The sequence below is a fragment of the Homo sapiens genome, chromosome 19 (assembly GCF_000001405.40).
Source record: "Homo sapiens chromosome 19, GRCh38.p14 Primary Assembly".
In the NCBI taxonomy this organism is placed as follows: Eukaryota; Metazoa; Chordata; class Mammalia; order Primates; family Hominidae; genus Homo; species Homo sapiens.
This window is the reverse complement of record NC_000019.10, coordinates 49,453,098-49,473,523: the sequence shown is the minus strand read 5'-3', so window position 1 is coordinate 49,473,523 and position 20,426 is coordinate 49,453,098. Positions and strand designations below refer to the sequence as shown.

General features: G+C 56.4%; 1 protein-coding gene across 4 annotated transcripts, besides 3 other annotated features; it reads right to left on the bottom strand.

Annotated features, from left to right (window-relative positions):
* ALDH16A1 (aldehyde dehydrogenase 16 family member A1) lies at positions 2,474–20,299 on the bottom strand. Of its 4 annotated transcripts, XM_047438163.1 has the most exons (18): positions 20,103–20,299; positions 16,598–16,708; positions 14,936–15,038; positions 14,438–14,564; positions 13,676–13,854; positions 12,625–12,702; positions 11,724–11,905; positions 11,488–11,640; positions 10,769–10,954; positions 9,575–9,670; positions 9,261–9,397; positions 9,002–9,107; positions 8,762–8,892; positions 7,619–7,786; positions 7,241–7,442; positions 4,958–5,143; positions 4,538–4,660; positions 2,474–3,218 (listed from the first exon to the last, which is right to left on the bottom strand). In XM_047438163.1, the coding sequence occupies exons 2-18, from the start codon at positions 16,598–16,600 to the stop codon at positions 3,057–3,059; spliced, it is 2,322 nt and encodes a 773-aa protein (XP_047294119.1). In that variant the 5' UTR covers positions 16,601–16,708; positions 20,103–20,299; the 3' UTR covers positions 2,474–3,056. The 4 variants fall into 4 exon arrangements, with proteins under 4 accessions (XP_047294119.1, NP_699160.2, XP_011524743.1 ...); NM_153329.4 differs by lacking the exon at positions 16,598–16,708; XM_011526441.1 differs by lacking the exons at positions 16,598–16,708; positions 20,103–20,299 and adding an exon at positions 18,587–18,610.
* Positions 4,021–4,070: a silencer, noted in NCBI's record as "silent region_10916". NCBI's record gives its function as "represses an Ori minimal core promoter by ATAC-STARR-seq in GM12878 lymphoblastoid cells {active_cell/tissue: GM12878}" and the evidence as "EXISTENCE:reporter gene assay evidence [ECO:0000049][PMID:35858748]".
* Positions 4,491–4,690: an enhancer, noted in NCBI's record as "active region_14941". NCBI's record gives its function as "activates an Ori minimal core promoter by ATAC-STARR-seq in GM12878 lymphoblastoid cells {active_cell/tissue: GM12878}" and the evidence as "EXISTENCE:reporter gene assay evidence [ECO:0000049][PMID:35858748]".
* Positions 18,747–19,706: an enhancer, noted in NCBI's record as "H3K27ac hESC enhancer chr19:49957075-49958034 (GRCh37/hg19 assembly coordinates)". NCBI's record gives its function as "activates a minimal SCP1, AML or CMV promoter by ChIP-STARR-seq in primed H9 embryonic stem cells {active_cell/tissue: H9 hESC(primed)}" and the evidence as "EXISTENCE:reporter gene assay evidence [ECO:0000049][PMID:30033119]".

The following is a 20,426-nucleotide window of genomic DNA, read 5'->3' as shown; positions in this document are numbered from 1 at the left end:
GGTGATCAGCCTGCCTCGGCCTCCCAAAATGCTGGGATTACAGGTGTGACCCATCACGCCCATCCTGAATCTCTTGCTCACCCATCTGATCCGTGGCAGACTGTCCTGAAACATCTGCTGCCCCCACCCCCCCAGCAGGAGGATTCGAGGTCCCATCCTGGGGAACTCGGACATGGCCACACTCACTTTGGCCAGTCACATGAGGGTGGAGGTGACAGGTGTCACTTCTGAATGGAAGTCTAAGGGACCGGGGAGTGGATGGTGGAGGATGCATGGAGAGAGCGCCTCTATCAGCCAAGTTTCCTGTGCCACTCGGAGGAGCACAGGGATCCTGCCAGCCCCGGATGAGCACAGGGAGTGTAAGCAACAAACTAATGTTGTGGTTGTGGCCCACGCAGATTCGGGGGTTATGTGTTACTGCAGCAAAGCCTCGCCCGTCCTGGCCTTCATCATCCATTTCCCTTCCCTGATCCCTCTGCCTGCCTCACTTCCTGTTCAGCCTGGGTTAGCTGCCTTGTCGCACCCAATGGTCAGACCTTCCATCTGGCTAGAAAGATTTAAATGAAGCAGAGAGGCAGAGATACAAGCCCCAATAGCTCATGTGGCCCATGGACAAAGGACCTGCTCTAGCTCCTTCCTGACCAAGTCCTGGGGCCCCTCAATGTGTGTCCTGCCCTATCGCCCTATTGCCTCTAGGGAATCTCTGTAGCCTTCCAGAAGACTCCTCTCTCTCTCTCTTTTTTTTTTGAGACCGAGTCTCGCTGTGTTGCCCAGGCTGGAGTGCAGTGGCACGATCTTGGCTCACTGCAAGCTCCCCCTCTGCCTCCCAGGTTCAAGCAATTCTCCTGCCTCCCAGATAGCTGGGATTTCAGGTGCCGCCACCACGCCTGGCTAATTTTTATAATTTTAGTAGAGACGGGATTTCACCATGGTGCCCAGGCTGGTCTCAAACTTCTGACAAGTGATCCACCCACCTCGGCCTCCCAAAGTGCTGGGATTACAGGTGTGAACTGCCACACCTAGTCCGGAAAACTCTCATTTTTTTTTTCTTTGAGATGGAGCCTTGCTCTGTTGCCCAGACTAGAGTGAAGTGTGTGCTCTCAGCTCACTGCAACCTCTGCCTCCTGGGTTCGAGTGATTCTTCTGCCTCAGCCTCCTGAGTAATTGGGATTACAGGTGCCCGCCACCACACCCAGCTAATTTTTGTATTTTTAGTACAGACAGGGTTTCACTGTGTTGGCCAGGCTGCTCTCAAACTCCTGACCTCAGGTGATCCGCCTACTTCGGCCTCCCAAAGTGTTGGGATTACAGGCCTGAGTCACCGAGCCTGGCCTCTGAAAACTCCCTTTTATCCTAAACTAGTAAGAGTGGGTTTCTTACATCAAAAAGAATTCTACTTCAGGTGTGGTGGCTGATGCCTGCAGTCCCACACTTTGAAAGGCTGAGGCGAGAGGATCGCTTGAGGCCAGGAGTTCAAGACCAGCCTGAGCAACGTAGGTAGACTCTGCCTATTAAAAAAAAAAAAATTAGCCAGGCATGGTGGTGCGTGCCTGTGGTCCCAGCTGCTCAGGAGGCTGAGGTGGGAGGATTTTTTTTTTTTTTTTTTGAGACGGAGTCTCACTCTTTCGCCCAGGCTGGAGTGCAGTGGCTCGATCTCGGCTCACTGCAAGCTCCACCTCCCGGGTTCACGCCATTCTTCTGCCTCAGCCTCCCAAGTAGCTGGGACTACAGGCGCCCGCCACCATGCCCAGCTAATTTTTTTGTATTTTTAGTAGAGACGGGGTTTCACCGTGTTAGCCAGGATGGTCTTGATCTCCTGACCTCATGATCCACCTGCCTCGGCCTCCCAAAGTGCTGGGATTATAGGCGTGAGCCACCACGCCCGGCCGAGGTGGGAGGATTGAGCCCAGGTCGAGGGTGGGTTCAGTAAGCTGTGACTGCGCCACTGTATTACAGCCTAAAAAACAGAGCAAGATCCTTTATTTAAAAATCAACAGTCGTGCGCAGTGGCTTAAGTCTGTAATCTTAGCACTTTGGGGAGACCAAGACAGGCGGACCGCTTGAGGTCAGGAGTTTGAAACCAGCCAGGCCAAGATGGTGAAACCCCGTCTGTACTAAAAATACAAAAAATTATCTGGGTGTGGTGGCGCGAGCCTGTAATTCTAGCTACTCTGGAGGCCGAGGCAGGAGAATCGCTCGAACCTGGGAGGCGGAGGTTGCAGTGAGCCGAGATCACCCCGCTGCACTCCAGCCTGGCCGACAGAGAGACTCTGTCTCGAAAAAACAAAAAACAAACCAAAAAAACCCACCCACAACCAGAATCCTAAGGCAGTGGTGTGCTGAAGCGGCTCGTATTGGCTCATGGGAGCTGACCTGTTAACAATTCAGGATCTCGCAGGCAGTTGTTTAATCACCTGTACCTTGAAATCCGGCACGGTGGGAGCATTTACATCATGGAAATTGACAAAAGTCATATAGGAGGACTTTAATTTTATTCCAGAGAGTTCCTTTACTGCATATGGATTCTGGGGCCATGAAAAGGTAGAGAAAACCAGAGAGCAAGAGCCACCAGATGGAGAAGACAAGAAGATATGAGAGTCCTAAGGCCCTGTCTGGGGTCCTCGGGGGTCCCCTTTCTCTGTTTCACAAACACAGCACCGTGCTGGAGCCGGCTCCTGAGCTGCTCAACCTCAGAACTAAAATGGCCTCGAGCCAGGTGTGGTGGTGCATGTCTGTGGCCCCAGCTACATATGAGGCTGAGGCATGAGGATCCCTTGAGCCCCAGAGGTCGAGGCTGCAGTGGGCCGAGATTGTGCCACTGCGCTCCAGCCTGGGTGACAGAGCCAGACGTTGTCTCAAAAAAAAAAAAAAAAAAGAAAAAAGCCTCATATCTGCCAGAAGTTGCTACACCCTTTCTTCTCGCAGAAGCACAGCTAGGGTTGGTCAGAGAGTTTATTGGGAGACACAGGAACCAGAAGGGGAAAGTCCCAGGTGTCTGTGGGGTGCATCTCCCCTTGGTGTGAGGTGTCCAAAATGCAGTAGGTGGCGCTCAGGCATCAGTCCCCCATAGGCAGCCACAGGGCCTTGGTCCGCGCCACTCGCAGCCCCAGCTCTGGGCCTGCCCCCTCGGCCTCCTGGTCCCAGGCCCGCGGGCAGCCCCTGCTCGCCCACACCGGTTTGAGGTTTCCTGCCGAGGCCCACTCGACAAACTGGGAACCCTGAGGGGAGGAAGAGACGGGGGTAAGCACTTCTGCAGGCTTGTTGCTGAGCACCTGCTTCCTCCGCGATGAAGACTGTTACTGACGAGGGGCTTCAGGCTGGACCCAGGCTCTGCAGCTACAATGCCCAGCTCCTCCCAAGCAGAACTTCCAGATGGTAGGGAAAAGCACTGGACCCAGTGGTTAGGGAATTTCCTCTCCCTTAACAGCCCATGTTGAAAGGAATGGGCCCCAAGGCTCTTGTCAACAAGTTCACATCTGTTACCAACAGGAGGTTTAAGAGAGTGGACGGTGGGGCGCGGTGACTCGCTCCTGTAATCCCAGCACTTGGGGTGGCTGAGGCGGGAGGATCGCTTGAGTTCAGGAGTTTGAGACCAGCCTGGACAATATGGCGAGACCCCGTCTCCATTTAAAAAGTAAAAATTGGTTGGGCACAGTGGCTCACGCCTGTAATCTCAGCATTTTGGGAGGCTGAGGCAGGCAGATCACGCGAGGTCAGGAGTTCGAGACCAGCCTGGCCAATATGGCGAAACCCCATCTCTACTAAAAAAAAACCCCCAACAATTAGCTGGGCATGGCGGTGAGTGCCTGTAGTCTCAGCTACTTGGGAGGCAGGAGAATCACTTGAACCCGGGAGGCAGAGGTTGCAGTGAGCCAAGATCGTGCCACTGTATTCCAGCCTGGGCGACAGAGTGAGACTCTGTCTCAAAAAAAATAAAATAAAATAAAATAAAATAAAAAAAAAAACAGTAGACTCAACCAGTTGTGCTGGCTCACACCTGTAATCCCAGCACTTTGAGAGGCCGAGGCGGGCAGATCACTTGAGCCCAGGAGTTCAAGATCAGCCTGGCCAACATAGAGAAACCCCAGTCTCTGCAAAAGAAAAAAATTAGCTGGGCATGGTGGTGCACGCCTGTGGTCCCAGCTACTCAGGAAGCTGAGGTGGGACGGTGGCTTGAGCCTGGGAGGTTGCGGCTGCAGTGAGGTATGATTGCATCTGGGTGACAGGGTGAGGTTCTGTCTCAAAATAGAAAAACAAAGCGTAGACTGTGGGCCTCCAAATCTAGGGTGTGGTCCTTAGCAACGGGCTGTCCCCTGAGACGAGGTCTTTGGGCTAGGCAGCTCTCAGGCCCCTGTTGCTAAGGACAGCCTCTTCCTTAGTAACTTGAGTCCTAAGGGCGGGGCCTCAAAACCTTCTTGTCAAGGAGTTTCTCCCCTTACCAACAGGAGTTCTAAGAGGGCGGGGCTGTGTTTCCAGAAAAGGAGGAGCCTGTTTGAAGTTTGAGATGCTGAAGATGGCAAAACAGAACAAAGAGCACCTGGGCTGATCCGAAATACCACATGGCCTGGACGTCTTGGTGCAAGGCCAGGCAGCGGGTCAGATGGTCCCGGTCTCCTGTCACCACGTTGGCCAGGCCTGCTGGGAACACGGTGGCCATGTCCTAGGGGATAGAGAGAGTGAAAGGTTGGGGAGGCCGTGGGGGCAGGGCAAGGAGTGGGCATTCAGGGGGTGCCCATGGGAGGGAAGGGGATGGGGGGTCATGGAGGAGAAAGCCCCAGGCCTAGGGTGAAGAATGGGCACTGGGTCCCCAAGGAGTGAAGGTTTGGGTGCTGGGGCTGGGGGCAGCATGGGTACCACGGAGGGTGGGGTAAGAGACAAGCTCCTGCCGACTTTGGGGCGCCTTTTTCTGCTGCCCTGAGGCTACGGGGAGGAGAGGCAGGAAGGCAGGGGGCTATACCTGGCAGACCTCCAGGGCCAGCAGAGGACAGGCCGCACTGGGCACCATGACCACAGTGTTGCCGTAGGCCAGGGCGGGAGCCAGCAGGGACACGAAGGCAAGCAGGGGCCACTCGTCCGGACACACCACAGCCAGCACACCCAGCGGCTCCCGCAGGCGCAGCACAGGGCCTCTCAGCCCGGCTACCTGCAGGGACAGGTGGGTCACGTGTGGGGCAGGGGAGCCCCGCCCGCAGTAAATGAGAGATCCAGTTCCTCTACATTCTCCCCAACACTTGGTGTTGGCCCAAACCGCACCATTGTGGAAGCCCCTGCCATTTCGCAGACGCTGGTCAAAGTGAATCATTCCACGGGGGTTCGGGCGGTGAGAAACATCCTGCATAACCGCCTTTCTTTTTTTTTTTTTTTGAGACGGACTCTCACTCTGTCGCCCTGGCTAGAGTGCAGTGGTGCGATCTTGGCTCACTGCAACCTCCGCCTCCCGGGTTCACGCCATTCTCCTGCCTCAGTCTCCTGAGTAGCTGAGACTACAGGCACCTGCCACCATGCCCGGCTAATTTTTTTTTTTTGTATATTTAGTAGAGACGGGGTTTCACTGTGTTAGCCAGGATGGTCTCGATCTCTTGACCTTGTGATCTGCCCACCTTGGCCTCGCAAAGTGCTGAGATTACAGGCGTGAGCCACTGCGCCTGGTCTATTTTCTTTTGTTAAAAATAAATATGGTGTTGGGGGGTGGGAGGCAAGGGGAGGGAACTTAGAGGGCAGGTCAATAGGTGCAGCAAACCACCATGGCACGTGTATCCCTATGTAACAAGCCTGCGCGTTCTGCACATGTATCCCAGAACTAAAGTAAAATAAAATTTAAAAAAAAGAAGGCCGGGTGTAGTGGCTCACACCTGTAATCCCAGCACTTTGGGAGGCCAAGGTGGGCGGATCACGAGGTCAGGAGATCGAGACCATCCTAACATGGTGAAACCCTGTCTCTACTAAATATACAAAAAAAAAATTAGCCGGGTGTGGTGGTGGGCACCTGTAGTCCCAGCCACTCGGAAGGCTGGGGCAGGAGAATGGCGTGAACCTGGGATGCAGAGGTTGCAGTGAGCCGAGATTGCGCCACTGCACTCCAGCCTGGGCGACAGAGCGAGACTCTGTCTCAAAAAAAAAAAAAAAAGAAAGAAAGAAATATGGTTTGGCCCATGATATAGTTCAGATGTCCCACCCAAATCTCATGTTGAAATGTAATCCCTGGCCAGGCGCAGTGGCTCACGCCTATAATCCCAGCACTTTGGGAGGTCAAGACAGGCGGATCACTTGAAGCTAGGAGTTCAAGATCAGCCTGGGCAACATGGCGAGTCTCTTGTCTCTGCAAAAATACAAAAACACCCAGTCATGTGTGCTGGTGTGTGCCTGTGATCCCAGATACTCAGGAGGCTGAGGTGGGGGGCTCACTTGGACCTCGGAGGTTGAGGCTGCAGTGAGCCATGATTGTGGCACTGCACTCCAGCCGGGTGCCAGAGGGAGACTGGTGCCAACATGCCCAGCTAATTTATCTATTTTTTGTGGAGACAGGGTTTCACTGTGTTGCCCAGGCTGGTTTCAAACTCCTGGCCTCAAGCGATCCACCCACTTTTGCCTCCCAAAGTGCTAGGATTACAGGCGTGAGCCACCATGTCTGGCCAGGTATTTTTTGTTTTTTGTTTTTTTTTGTGACACAAGGTCTCACTCTGTCACTCAGGCTGGAGTGCAGTGGCACGATCTCGGCTCACTGCAACCACTGCCTCCTGGGTTCAAGCAATTTTCCTGCCTCAGCCTCCTAAGTAGCTGGGACTATAGGTGCCCACCACCGTACCCAGCTAATTTTTTGTATTTTTAGTAGAGACCAGGTTTCACCGTGTTGCCCAGGCTGGTCTCGATCTCCTGACCTCGTGATCCGCCTGCCTCAGCCTCGCGAAGTACTGGGATTACAGGCGTGAGCCACTGCGCCCCCAGGTGTTTCTTTACAGCAATGTGAGAACCGCCTAACAGCCCACTAAATTGATTTTAGGGTCCAGGAATGGGTCGCTATCCATCATCTGGCGAACGCTACTCTACGAGGCGGGTTGTGTGCCCACTCACTGTACAGATGAGGGAACTGAGGTAGGGAGAGGTGAAGCCACTTGCTGATGATCCTGCCGTGGAAGGCGGTGGGGCTGGGCCCGAATTCCAAGCCTGGGTTATCTCACAGCCTCTGGTCTGAGCCCCACCCCGCCTGCCCAGCTGGCCCAGGTGCCCACAGACCCTTCACCTGCAGGGTGTGGCCTTGGGCCTGCACCCGGGCCCCCCACGCCCGAAGTCGTCTTGCGCTCAGCTCCACCTCCGCCTCCGCAGCCTTGAGCTCCGCTCCCTGCCTCTCCAGCCTCGAGGCCAGGGTAGACTTCCGGCGCTCCAGTGCAGCCGCCAGGGCCCACAGCAGGGCTGCCCGGGCTCCTGGGGACTGGCCCGCCCAGCTGTGGGCAGACAGCGCACAGTGGGGGTTGGCATCCTGGTCTTGGCTCTCCTGACACCCCACCTCTGTCCACAGCCCCTACCCTGGGGGCCCAGCCTCCCAGTCCACCAATTGCTGTGGGCAGGCTCCCCTCTCTGCCACACCATGACCCTTGGGCTTTCCCGTGTGACCCCTTACCCAGGGAAAGCCTGGTGAGCGGCCTCCACAGCACCTCGGATGTCCTTGGCTCCACCCTCAGCCACGTAGCCATGGAGGTTGCCAGACGAATCCCGGATGGGCCTGGAGCTTCGGGCCCCAGGAGCCTGGAAACGGCCCCCAACGAAGAGCCCATAGGGGGGTGCTGGGCTGGAGTAGGGTGGGACATGAGGAGGAGTCCTGGGGCCTCAATCTGCTCAGACCCTATGCTCTACCGCACTGGGAAGACTGCCTTGGCTCCCGTGAGCCTCTGGGGCACCCCAAACCCCTGTTCCCATGAGCCTCTGGGGGACCCTAAAACTCCTGCTCCCATGATTCACTGGGGGACCCTAAACTCCAGCTCCCATGAGCCTCTGGGGGACCTTAAACTGCTCCCATGAGCCTCTGGGGAACCCCAAATTCCTGCTCCCATGAGCCTCTGGATGACTCAAGTTTCTGCTCCCATGAGCCTCTGGGGGACCCCAAACCCCTGTTCCCACTAGCCTCTGGGTACCCTAAACTCCTGCTCCCATGAGCCTCTGGGGGACCCTAAACTCCTACTCCCATGAGCCTCTGGCAGACCCTAAACTGCTCTCATAAGCCTGTGGGGCACCCCAAATTCCTGTTCCCATGAGCCCCGGAGGACCCAAAGCTTCTGCTCCCATGAGCCTCTGGAGGACCCTAAGTTCCTGCTCCATGAGCCTCTGGGGGACCCTAAGCTCCTGCTCCCATGAGCCTCTGGTAGACCCTAAACTGCTCCCTTGAGTCTCTGGGGGGACCTCAAACTCCTGCTCCCATGAGCCTCTGGAGGACCCCAAGTTTCTGCTCCCATGAGCCTCTGGGGGACCCCAAGCTCCTGCTCCCATGAGCCTCTGAGGGACCCCAAGCTTCTGCTCCAGTGAACCTCTGGGGGACCCCAAGCTCCTAGACCCATGAGTTTCTGGGAGAGTACAGACATTCATGGGGCAGAGCTGAGAGTCTCGGCAGGCCTGGGGTAGGGAAAGTGTGAGGCCACAACGTGGTACTCAGCAGGACTAAGAGATGGTTTGGATGGACCTCGCGCCAGCCCTCCAGTCCACGGGGAAACAGGCATCAATTCCCCTCTCCCCGTTCACACTCCCAGACCACTGGCCCCCAACGACTCACCTGGGCCCTATTTCAGGCCCAGCCGGCAGGGTTGAGGGAACAGCGAGGCCAAAGGTGTCATAGTTCAGGTTCTTGGAGAGGCAGGACAGCCGGGCAGGGGTCCCTGAGGGCCGCAGATACTCATACAGCCCCTGTGAGAGGGACGGTGTCAAGAGGATGCAAGGGGCACGCGAGGCCGGATGCGAGTGTCAAGGGCATGGGGCGGCGGGGGGGCTGGTGACGGGGAGGGGATGTACTCACGTCTGGGCCCCCGTGCCAGGAACACCCACTCTCCTTGCAGCCGCCTGTGGGCACCGAAGGGTCTCTGAGGCCGTGGGCGTTGATCCAGACAGTGCCCACCTGGAGCCTGTGGGGAAGATGAAGGTGTCCAACAGAGGAAAACAGACGGTGGCAGGCCGGGAGAGGGGTGAGTTAAAGGCGCGGGGAGCGACCCAGGGAGAAGGGAGATGAAGATGGAAGAATGAGGAGAGGAGTGAGCGCCCGGGCCACGCAGACTGACCCATAGCCCAGCTCCAGCGCCTGCCCCAGCCTCTCGCTCCACACACTGGCGCTGCCCCCGCGGGGCGTCCCGTTGGCCACCAACAGTGCCTCCTTGGCTGTGCGGAAGGGGGAGGCCACGACCACAGGCCACGGCACCTGCAAGGGGTGACCGGGAGGCTCAGCCCTCCAGGGCCCACCCACCAGGGAAGGAGCCTAGAGCAGGCAGCAGCCCCCACGCCCAGGTCACATGGTTACCCCAAGGGCTTCCCCAGGCACAGAGCTGCTGCCCTTGGCTGGCGGTGGGTAGGAGCTCTGCAGCCTTAAGGGTCTCACCTCCACCTGGGCACATGGGGAGGCTGGGGGCAGGTTGGAGACCAAGGTTGGGGGATAGAATGGGCGTTCCGAAGGCACATCACCAGCCTGGAACACCTAGGGAGAGAAATGATCTAGAAGTCGACTTCTGGTCCCTTCCTGCTGAGACCGAGGACTGCAGGACCCCAGCCCCTCCTCCCTCAGACCCAGGAGTCCAGGCCCCCAGCCCCTCCTCCCTCAGACCCAGGAGTCTGGACCCCCAGCCTCTCCTCCCTCAGACCCAGGAGTCCAGGCCCCCAGCCCCTCCTCCCTCAGACCCAGGAGTCTGGACCCCCAGCCCCTCCTCCCTCAGACCCAGGAGTCCAGGCCCCAGCCCCTCCTCCCTCAGACCCAGGAATCCAGGCCCCAGCACCTCCTCCCTCAGACCCAGGAGTCCAGGCCCAGCCCCTCCTCCCTCAGACCCAGGAGTCCAGGCCCCCAGCCCCTCCTCCCTCAGACCCAGGAGTCTGGACCCCCAGCCTCTCCTCCCTCAGACCCAGGAGTCCAGGCCCCCAGCCCCTCCTCCCTCAGACCCAGGAATCTGGACCCCCAGCCCCTCCTCCCTCAGACCCAGGAGTCCAGGCCCCAGCCCCTCCTCCCTCAGACCCAGGAATCCAGGCCCCAGCACCTCCTCCCTCAGACCCAGGAGTCCAGGCCCAGCCCCTCCTCCCTCAGACCCAGGAGTCCAGGCCCCCAGCCCCTCCTCCCTCAGACCCAGGAGTCTGGACCCCCAGCCTCTCCTCCCTCAGACCCAGGAGTCCAGGCCGCCAGCCCCTCCTCCCTCAGACCCAGGAGTCTGGACCCCCAGCCCCTCCTCCCTCAGACCCAGGAATCCGGGCCCCAGCCCCTCCTCCCTCAGACCCAGGAATCCGGGCCCCAGCACCTCCTCCCTCAGACCCAGGAGTCCAGGCCCAGCCCCTCCTCCCTCAGACCCAGGAGTCCAGGCCCCAGCCCCTCCTCCCTCAGACCCAGGAATCCAGGCCCCAGCACCTCCTCCCTCAGACCCAGGAGTCCAGGCCCAGCCCCTCCTCCTTCAGACCCAGGAGTCCAGGCTCCCAGCCCCTCCTTCCTCGGACCCAGTTGTCCACGCCCAGCTCCCTCCTCCCTTGGACCCAGGAGCTGGGTCTCCAGGCCCCTCCTCCCCTGACACCCTCAAGTCTCTACCCCCTGCCTCACCTGTGCACCCTGGCTCTGGGCCTCACGCACAAAGCGCTGGACCAGGTCACATGCGGCAGCCCCCCGGGCCCCCATGTCCACGGCCCCATCCAGCCCTCGGCCACTCCGAAGCCGCCCCATCCGCTCCTGCAGCCGTCTCATGGCTTCATCCCACACAGACTCCTGGATGAGGAGCCTGAGGCCACCCTGTGAGGAAAAGGGGCATCAGGAGATCACACCATTGCACTCTAGCAAGTTGGTGATCTGAAGAGTGAAGACAGAGGCTGGAAAACTAGGGACATGGACACTCAGATAAATCAACAGAGTCCTAAAGAACAGAGAGGCCGGATGCGGTGGCTCACACCTGCAGTCCCAGCACTTTGGGAGGCCGAGGTGGGCGGATCACCTGAGGTCAGGAGTTCGAGACCAGCCTGGCCAACATGGTGAAACCCCGTCTCTACTAAAAATACATAAATTAGCCAGGCATGGTGGTGCCCGCCTGTAATCCCAGCTACTCGGGAGGCTGAGGCAGCTACTCCCAGGCTGAACCTGGGAGGCAGAGGTTGCGGTGAGCCAAAATCGCGCCGCTGCACCCCAGCCTGGGCGACAAGAGTGAAACTCCGTCTCAAAATAAATAAAATAAAATAAAATAAAATGAACAGAGACTCGGGACCCCGAAGACTGGAGACAGACACCAACGGCCTCCAGGGTATGAGGAGACGGGAGCGCACGGGTCTCACCGGGCCGCGGTCGGACCAGGCGGCGTCCACGACACCCTCCACGGCCGAGTCTACGTCCGCCGTGTCCGTCAGCAGCAGCAGCGACTCCGTCCCCAGCGCCAGGCCCAGCTCCGCACACTCTCCCGCCAGGCTCCGTCGAAGGGCACGCCCTTCCTAGGGACCCCCCCCAGTTCAGCCGCAGGAGGAGCCTTGCGGCCCCCAGCCGCGTTCCGCCACGACCCCTGTCCCGAAGGTACCTCCGGGGCTCCGCAGAAGGCCACCTTCCGGATTCCAGGCTGGGAGGCCAGGATGGGCACCAGGGACGCAGGGCCACTGAGGACATTCAGGATTCCCGGGAAGGGGCCCAGCTCCCCCGCCAGCTGGGCCAGGAGGAGGGGCGCCGGGGAGGCCGGGGGCACGAGGGCCACCACGGTGCAGCCTGGGGAAGTGGGGCAGCTCAAAGGCCCAGGAGTCCAGGCCCAGCCCCTCCTCCCTCAGACCCAGGAATCTGGACCCCCAGCCCCTCCTCCCTCAGACCCAGGAGTCCAGACTCCAGCCCCTCCTCCCTCAGACTCAGGAGTCCAGGCCCCCAGCCCCTCCTCCCTCAGACCCCGGAGTCCAGGCCCAGCCCCTCCTCCCTCAGACCCAGGAGTCCAGACTCCAGCCCCTCCTCCCTCAGACCCAGGAGTCCAGACTCCAGCCCCTCCTCCCTCAGACCCAGGAGTCCAGGTCCCAGCCCCTCCTCCCTCAGACCCAGGAGTCCAGGTCCCAGCCCCTCCTCCCTCAGACCCAGGAGTCCAGACCCCAGCCCCTCCTCCCTCACACCCAGGAGTCCAGACCCCAGCCCCTCCTCCCTCAGACCCAGGAATCCAGACCCCAGCCCCTCCTCCCTCAGACCCAGGAGTCCAGACTCCAGCCCCTCCTCCCTCAGACTCAGGAGTCCAGACTCCAGCTCCTCCTCCCTCAGACTCAGGAGTCCAGACTCCAGCTCCTCCTCCCTCAGACCTAGGAGTTCAGACCCGCAGCCCCTCCTCCCACAGACTCCTTCCACAGAGTCCAGGCCTCCAGCCCCCTTGTCTCTCAGACTCTGGAGTTTGGGCCCCACGATCCCCTCCTTTCTCAGACCCAAGAGTCAGGACCCCCCAGGCCATCATTTACCCACAGCCAGGGCAGGGCAAATCCTCCACATCATCTCAAGGAAGGAGAATGTGGGTGGCAGGATGAGGCCAATTACTCCTGCAAGAAAAAAATGAGGCAAGAGGATCCCTTGAGGCTAGGTGTTTAAGTCCAGCCTGGGCCACATGGCAAGACCCCATGGCTACATTAGGAAAAAAAAAAAAAAATGGCCGGGTGTGGTGGCTCACGCCTGTAATCTCAGCACTTTGGGAGGTCGAGGTGGGCGGATCACCTGAGGTGGGAAGTTCGAGACCAGCCTGACCAACATGGAAAAACCCCATCTCCACTAAAAACACAAAATTAGCCAGGCGTGGTGGTGCATGCCTGTAGTCCCAGCTACTCGGGAGGCTGAGGCAGGAGAATCACTTGAACACGGGAGGCGGAGGTTCCAGTGAGCCGAGATCGCACCACTGCACTCCAGCCTGGGCAACAAAGAGCGAAACTCCATCTCAAAAAAAAAAAAAACAAAAACAAAAACTAGTCAGGTGTGGTGGTGCATGGTCGTAGTCCCAGTTACTTGGGAGGCTGAGGTGGGAGGATTTTGAGCCCAGGAGGTCGAGGTATCAGTGAGCTATAATTGCACCACTGTACTCCAGCCAGGGTGACAGAGAAAGACCCTGTCTGAAAAAGAAAAAAACAAAAACAAAAACAAAAGAAAAAGAATGAGGGGACCGGGCACGGTGGCTCATGCCTGTAATCCCAGCACTTTGGGATGCCAAGGCAGGTGAATCATCTGAGGTTAGGAGTTTGAGACCAGCCTGACCAACATGATGAGACCCCTCTTCTCTAATAAAAATATAACAATTAGCCAGGTGTGGTGGTGGGTGCCTGTAATTCCAGCTACTCAGGAGGCTGAGGCAGGAGAATCACTTGAACCCGGGAGGCGGAGGTTATAGTGAGCCAAGATTGCGCCACTGCACTCCGGCCTGGGCGACAAGAGCGAAACTCTGTCTAAAAGAAAAAGAATGAGGGGACTGGAGCTAGCACTGCTGAGTCATGTGGGAGGATAGGGCTAGGGACTCCAGGGTCTCACCCATGGGCTCCCAGCCTGCCAGTGCCTCCTCCTGGGTGGATGCCTGGATTGCATGGTAGTGGAGCAGCTGCTGGGCCAGCTGGACGTCCCCGTCTCGAACCTCTCGAACAGCCCGCCCAGTCACCAGGGATTCCAGGGTCCACAGCAGCCGCTGGTGCTTCTGGATCACCTCGGCCAGCCTGTCGAGAAAGCAAGAGGGTGCTCATTTTCCAACGGCCCTCAGCCTTGCAGAGTCCTGGGCTGCTCCTATATACCTGGACTACAATCCCCATGAGCCCCTGAGGCATCCCCACCATTTACCTGGGGCAGAGGGCAGTGAAGATTTATGAGAATTATAGTCATGGAAACACAAACCCTGAGGATGCTGTGTAAAGGTCTTGGCCGCCGGAAATCCCTGAAGCTTTTGGGAAATTGAGTCTTAGCTTCTAACCTCAATTGCGTTTTGGGAAATGGAATTTTTGTCTCTAGCTTCCCCGCAAGCGGCTAGGAAATGGATTTAGGGGCTTCACCAGCCCCAGTGAACTGAGCCCCAATGCACTCCAAGAATGTCCTGGGAAATAGAGGCTTTGTGGCTTCTAGTCCCAGTGAATAGTGGACAACGGATGCATGTTTCAGCCACGACTGCCTCCAGCACATACTGGGAATCTGAGCCTTAGCTGCAAATTAATTCAGTGGGATCTTGGGAAATAGCCTTTGTTCCCATGGTCTCGAGTGGATGCTGGGGTTCCCCGCCTCCCGGGGTCCACACCTCAGCTGCATCACCTGGTCAGGTGCTGGGCCCGGACGACGCCGGGGTGCGCACTCCAGCCCTTAAATGCCATCCTGGCTGCCTCCACGGCTGCAGCCACATCCTCGGCCTGTGCCTGCAGGCAACTGGCCAAGTTCTCTCCTGGGGAGAAAAGTGGGGGGACTCAGATGGGAGGAGTAGCCCATGTCATATCTGGAGGGGGCTGAGATTTTCGGAGCCTGGATCAGCCCAAGAGTGTAAAGCTGGTCCCCATTCTCTGCTGGGTCACGGCTATGATCACCTCCAGGGCAAGGAAGCTATTTTAACAGACAGCAGTCTCACAAAGCCTCCACAGAGACCCGGAACCATAATTAGGGTGACTGGTTTCAGAAGGAACCAGACATCGCAGCCCATCTCCCACCACCAGCTGTTTCCTGCCCTCAGGGCCCTAGGCAAGGGGAATGGGTGTTGGTGGGTAGGGCTAGAGGGCACAGATACCTCCCTTCCACTAATGACTGGGGGACATCTCGTACCTGTGATGGGATCCTGGCAAGGCACTGAATTTCTGTGTTCAGGCTTTAACCACTTCCCATTCACATAGTGGCCCAAGCACCGGTCCTGGGTGTCCAGCCAGGCCTGGGGGAGGTAGAGACAGTTTGGAAAGGGGTTCGGGAGGAGCTGGGGCAGTTCAACCCCTACCCAGAATCCTCTAGGAGGGGACGTCTGTCTCCCTCTGCCCCATCAGCTAATTCTTTTCCTCCTATTGCTTTAAAAAAAAAGTTTGTGGTAAAATAGAGCATTTCAAAGTGTATAGTTCAGCAGTTTAGTGGCATTCTGTGCATTTACAGTGTTGTGTAACCATCACCACTCTAGTTCTAGAACATTTTTTCATTTTTTTTTTTTGAGACTGAGTCTTGCTCTGTCACCCAGGCTGGAGTGCAGTGGCATGATCTCAGCTCACTGCAAGCTCCGCCTCCTGGGTTCACGCTATTCTCCCGCCTCAATCTCCTGAGTAGCTGGGACTACAGGCGCCCGCCACCACATGCGGCTAGTTTTGTTTTTGTATTTTTAGTAGAGACGGGGTTTCACCATGTTGGTCAGGCTGGTCTTGAACTCCTGACCTCAAGTGATCTGCACGCCTTGGCCTCCCAAAGTGCTGGGATTATGGATGTGTCAACATCTTTAATTCATTCAATTAGGGTCTCAACTGAGTCCTTGGGCTGGTGCCACAACAGTGGCACCTATTTGGAGTCCACTTTGGGAGGCCGAGGTGGTCTGAGCCTAGGCATTCAAGACCAGCCTGGGCAACATGGTGAAAGCTCATCTCTACAAAAAATACAAAAAGTTAGCCGGGTGTGGTGGTGAGTGCCTGTAGTCCCAGCTACCTGGGAGTCTGAGGTGGGAGGATCACTTGAGCCCAGGAGGTAGAGGCTGTAGTAAGCCAAGATCACGCCACTGCACTCCAGCCTGAGTAACAGAGCAAGGCTCTGTCTCAAAGAAAAAAAATTTTTTTACCACATCTCACTCACCACATCTCCTCCATATTTCTTTCTTTCTTTTTTTTTTTTTTGTTTGAGACAGAGTCTTGCTCTGTCACCCAGGCTGGAGTGCAGTGGCGCGATCTCTGCTCACTGCAAGGTCCGCCTCCTGGATTCACGCCATTCTCCTGCCTCAGGCTCCCGAGTAGCTGGGACTACATGCGCCTGCCACCACGCCTGGCTAATTTTTTTGTATTTTTAGTAGAGATGGGGTTTCACTGTGTTAGCCAGGATGGTCTTGATCTCCTGACCTCGTGATCCGCCCGCCTCGGCCTCCCAAAGTGCTGAGATTACAGGCGTGAGCCACTGCGCCCGGACTTCTCCTCCATATTTCTTTCTCATCCTGGTCACGTCTTCCCTGATGCTAAATCCAAAGCACACTGCTCACTTGCTCCTTCTACAGACTCCCCTAGCATCTCTGATGTCACATATTCCTGATTTTTCTCTTACTGGCCCTTCTTTCTTTTTTTTTTTTGAGATGGAGTCTTGCTCTTGTCTCCCAGGCTGGAGTGCAATGGTGCGATCTCAGCTCACTGCAACCTCCGCCTCCTGGGTTCACGTGATTCTCCTACCTCAGCCTCCCAAGTAGCTGGGATTACAGGCGGCCGCCACCATGCCCAGCTAATTTATATATTTCTAGTAGAGATGGGTTTTTACCATGTTGGCCAGGCTGGTCTCGAACTCCTGGCCTCAGGTGATCCACTCGCCTCGGCCTCCCAAAGTGCTGGGATTACAAGCATGAGCCACTGTGCCTGGCTTCTCCTTTCTCTTTAAAGCAAAAAAGTTACTTAGAAGTTCCAAACTCAAACGCCCACAGGGAGAGAGACATCTGTGAGAAAGTCAGGGATATTTGAACATGAACTGGGCATCAGATGACATTAAAGAATGATTGTTGGCCGGGCATGGTAGCTCACATCTGTAATCCCTGCACTTTCCCACGCTGAGACGGGAGGATTGCTTGAGCTGAGGAGTTTGAGACTAGTCTGGACCTACACAGCAAGACCCCATCTCTACAAAAATAAAAGTAAAAAATTTGCCAGTCATGATGATGCACACTTGTAGTCTCAGCTAGTCAGGAGGCTGGGGTGGGAGGATTGCTTGGGTCCAGGAGTTTCAGGCTGCAGTGAGCTATGAACGCTACTGAATGCTAGCCTGGGCGACAGAGTAAGATCCTGTCTCAAACAAACAAACAAAAAACAAAAAGAATGACTTAATGTTAAGTGTGGTAACAGACCATGGTAGTTTTGTAACAAAATGAGCCCTTATCTGTTAGAAGAAAGGATTCAAATATTTATAGGAAAATACTGTGACATCCAGGATTTGTTTAAATTACTCCAAAGAAAATACAGAAGGAAACAGCGCTGGGATAAATGTTGATGATGGTTGAGGCACAGTGATGGGTAAACAGGAGTTCAAAATAAATGCTAATTATTCTGTGCAAGTTGGAAAGCTTCCCCCCAAAAGAAAAACAAAATTCCAAAAGAATGTCCAGAGGGTTCCAGGAGGCCTGAGAAGAGGGCCTGGATGAGAAGAGGAGCTTAACGATTCATGGAAAAGACAGGAGCTATTGGTCCCAGATGACTTTTGTCAGGGAAGTTGAGCCAAATGTTGACACATTTTGGAATTTTATTTTCAAGAGGACCTCCCGGATGTTTACATGGAATCAATTGTCCAGCATTTCACATAAAAAAAAAATAAAGTTCACGCCAAAGAAAACATGTTTGTTGGTTGAGTCTGGCCCAGAGACTGTACGGTTGAGAACTTTGCTGGTGTAGGCAAGACCACGGGTCTGAAATGCAAGGACTCAAGTCCAAGTCTCAACTTCACTTTTTATGTTTTATTTTTATATTAATAGAGATAGGGCCTCACCATGTTGCCCAGGCTGGTCTCAAACTCCTAGGTGCGAGTGATCCTCCTGCCTCGGTCTCCCAAACTGCTGGGATTACAGGTGTGAGCCACTTGCCTGGCCTCAACTTCTTTTTTTTTCAGGGGGGACAGGGTCTTATTCTGTCACCCAGGCTGGAGTTCAGTGGTATGATCACTGCACCTCCCAGGCTCAGGTGATCCTCCCACCTCAGCCTCCCGGGTAGCTGGGACTACAGGTGTGTGCTGCCATCCTCGGCTAATCTTTTGTTTTCTGTTTCCTTTTTTTTTTTTTTTTTTTTTTGAGATGGAGTTTTGCTCTTGTTGCCCAGGCTGGAGTGCAGTGGCGTGGTCTCGGCTCACTGCAATCTCCACCTCCTGGGTTCAAGCGATTCTCCTGCCCCAGCCTCCCAAGTAGCTGGGATTACAGGTGCCTGCCACCACGCCCAGCTAATTTTTTGTATTTTTAGTAGAGATGGGTTTCACCATCTTGGCCAGGCTGGTCTCGATCTCCTGACCTCATGATCCGCCCGCCTCGGCCTCCCAAAGCGCTGGGATTACAGGTGTGAACCACTGCGCCCAGCCATTTTTGTATTTTTTTTGGAGACAGCGTCTTGCTCCGTTGCCCAGGCTGGAGTGCAGTGGTGCAATCTCAGCTTACTGCAACCTCTGCCTCCTGGATTCAAGCAATTCTCCCACCTCAGCCTCCCAAGTAGCTAGGATTACAGGCAAACACCACCACGCTCAGGTAATTTTTGTATTTTAGTAGAGATGGGGTTTCACCATGTTGGCCAGGCTGGTCTCGAACTCCTGACCTCAGGTGATCCGCCCACCTAGGACTCCCAAAGTGCTGGGATTACAAGTCTGAGCCACCACGCCTGGCCCAATGTTTTGTATTTTAGTAGAGACGAGGTTTCACTATGTTGCCCAGGCTGGTCTCGAATTCCTGAGCTCAGGCGATCTGCCCGTCTTGGCCTCCCCAAGTTCTAGGCTGTGCCAGGGTTCTGATCCAGTTCCTTCCACTTGGATCATTGCTCTGGCCTCCTGCCCTCCCCCTCAAAGAAGCCTAAGCTCCTTTCGCCTGGGTGCTGGGGGACCCTGGGGGATCATGAGAGCCCCGTGAAGGAATTCTGAGAGTGCCTGGGGAAACGACAGAAAGTTTGAGGTGCCCTACTCATTTGCAGGAACCCCACGAGGGTTCTGGGGGCCTCTGAGGGGTCATGGGAGTCCTAGGGAGGTTCTGAGGACCCCCAGGGGATCATGGGACCCTCACGAGGACTTCAGGGGTTCCTGAACAATCATGGGAACCCTATGGGACATTCTGAGAGCTAGAGAGATCATAGGAGCCCCGTGAGGGTATTGTGAGGGGCCATAAGTAATTACAGGAAGTCCTGATGTGGCTGGGTGCAGTAGCTCACGCCTGTAATCCCAGCACTTTGGGAAGTCGAGGTGGGTGGATCACTTGAGGCCAGGAGTTCGAGACCAGCCTGGCCAACATGCTGAAACCTTGTCTCTAGAAAAAGTACAAATATTAGCTGAGAGTGGTGGCGCGCGTCTCTGGTCCCAGTTACTTGGGGGGCTGAGGTGAGAGGATGGCTTGAGCCCAGGAGGTTGAGGCTGCAGTGGTGTGATAGCGCCAGTGCACTTCAGTTTGGGCGACAGAGTGAGACCCTGGCTCAAAAAAAAAAACAAAAAAAAAACCCAACCCAAACCGGAAGTCCTGATGTATTCTAGGCTCCTGAGAGTTCCGATGAGGTCACATGAACCCCACGAGTATTGAGGGGTCCTATGGGATCACGGGGGCTCCATGGAAGTTCTGAAGGTCTCTGGGTAATCAAAGGGATGAAGGGAGTCCCTCAGGAGGTCTGGGGTGCTCTGGAGGCCCATGGAAGCCATAGGATGTTTTGAAGAGTCGTGGAAAGACAATGGGGGTTGTGGGTCACTGGAGCCTCACAGGAATCCTAAGGGGTCTGGTGGGTGGCGTCAGGTTCTGAGGGGACCCTGAGGAATCACGAGAGCGTCTAGAGGAGTTCAGGAAAACCGCGGAAACACTACGAGGAGTTCAGGATCAAGGGGCAAGAGAACCAGTGGGGAAGACCGGAACAGACTAAAAGGCTGCCACCGCCAAGGCTCAAGGGAGCGTCCTACAGGGCGCGATCCTATTGGGCGGCGGGAATCACGGGGACTAAGAGAGGCGGAGCGGCTGAGCTACCGCAGTGGATGACGGGACTCCCCGCGAAAAACCGGGCGCCCAGGCCTGGGGAACGCAGCGAGCAGCGCCGGCCGGGCAGACTCTCACCAGTGCGCATGCGTGGCTCTCCGGCACCGGTCCGTACTCCAGCGAGGTGAAGATCTCGCGGGCGCGGGGCCCTGCACGCGTCGCAGCCATCGCCTACCCCGAACGCTTTCCGCGAAGACTGCGGGGCGCTCTGTGTTAAGGGGAACCTTGAGGTCCGAAGAGCGACACCTCCGGTTCCAGCCCAAAGGGGCGGGGCTAATGGGAATGGGGTGGGGCTACAAGATACAGAGAGCAGCCACGCCCACACTTTTTCCTTAGGACCCGATGGCCCCGCCTACGTCCCCCACGGGGAAGCGTATTTAGGAGCATGCGCACTGCTTAAAA

What these genes read in the sequence shown, in the direction of transcription:
- ALDH16A1 (NM_153329.4), bottom strand. Translation starts at nt 20,192, where the DNA reads ATGGCTGCGACGCGTGCAGGGCCCCGCGCCCGCGAGATCTTCACCTCG. An exon ending in CGGGCCCAGCACCTGACCAG is followed by an intron (nt 13,855 to 14,437) that starts GTGATGCAGCTG and finishes CTTTCTCGACAG; the next exon opens with GCTGGCCGAGGTGATCCAGA. An exon ending in CCCAAGGCCACACCCTGCAG is followed by an intron (nt 5,144 to 7,240) that starts GTGAAGGGTCTG and finishes CTGTCCCTGCAG; the next exon opens with GTAGCCGGGCTGAGAGGCCC.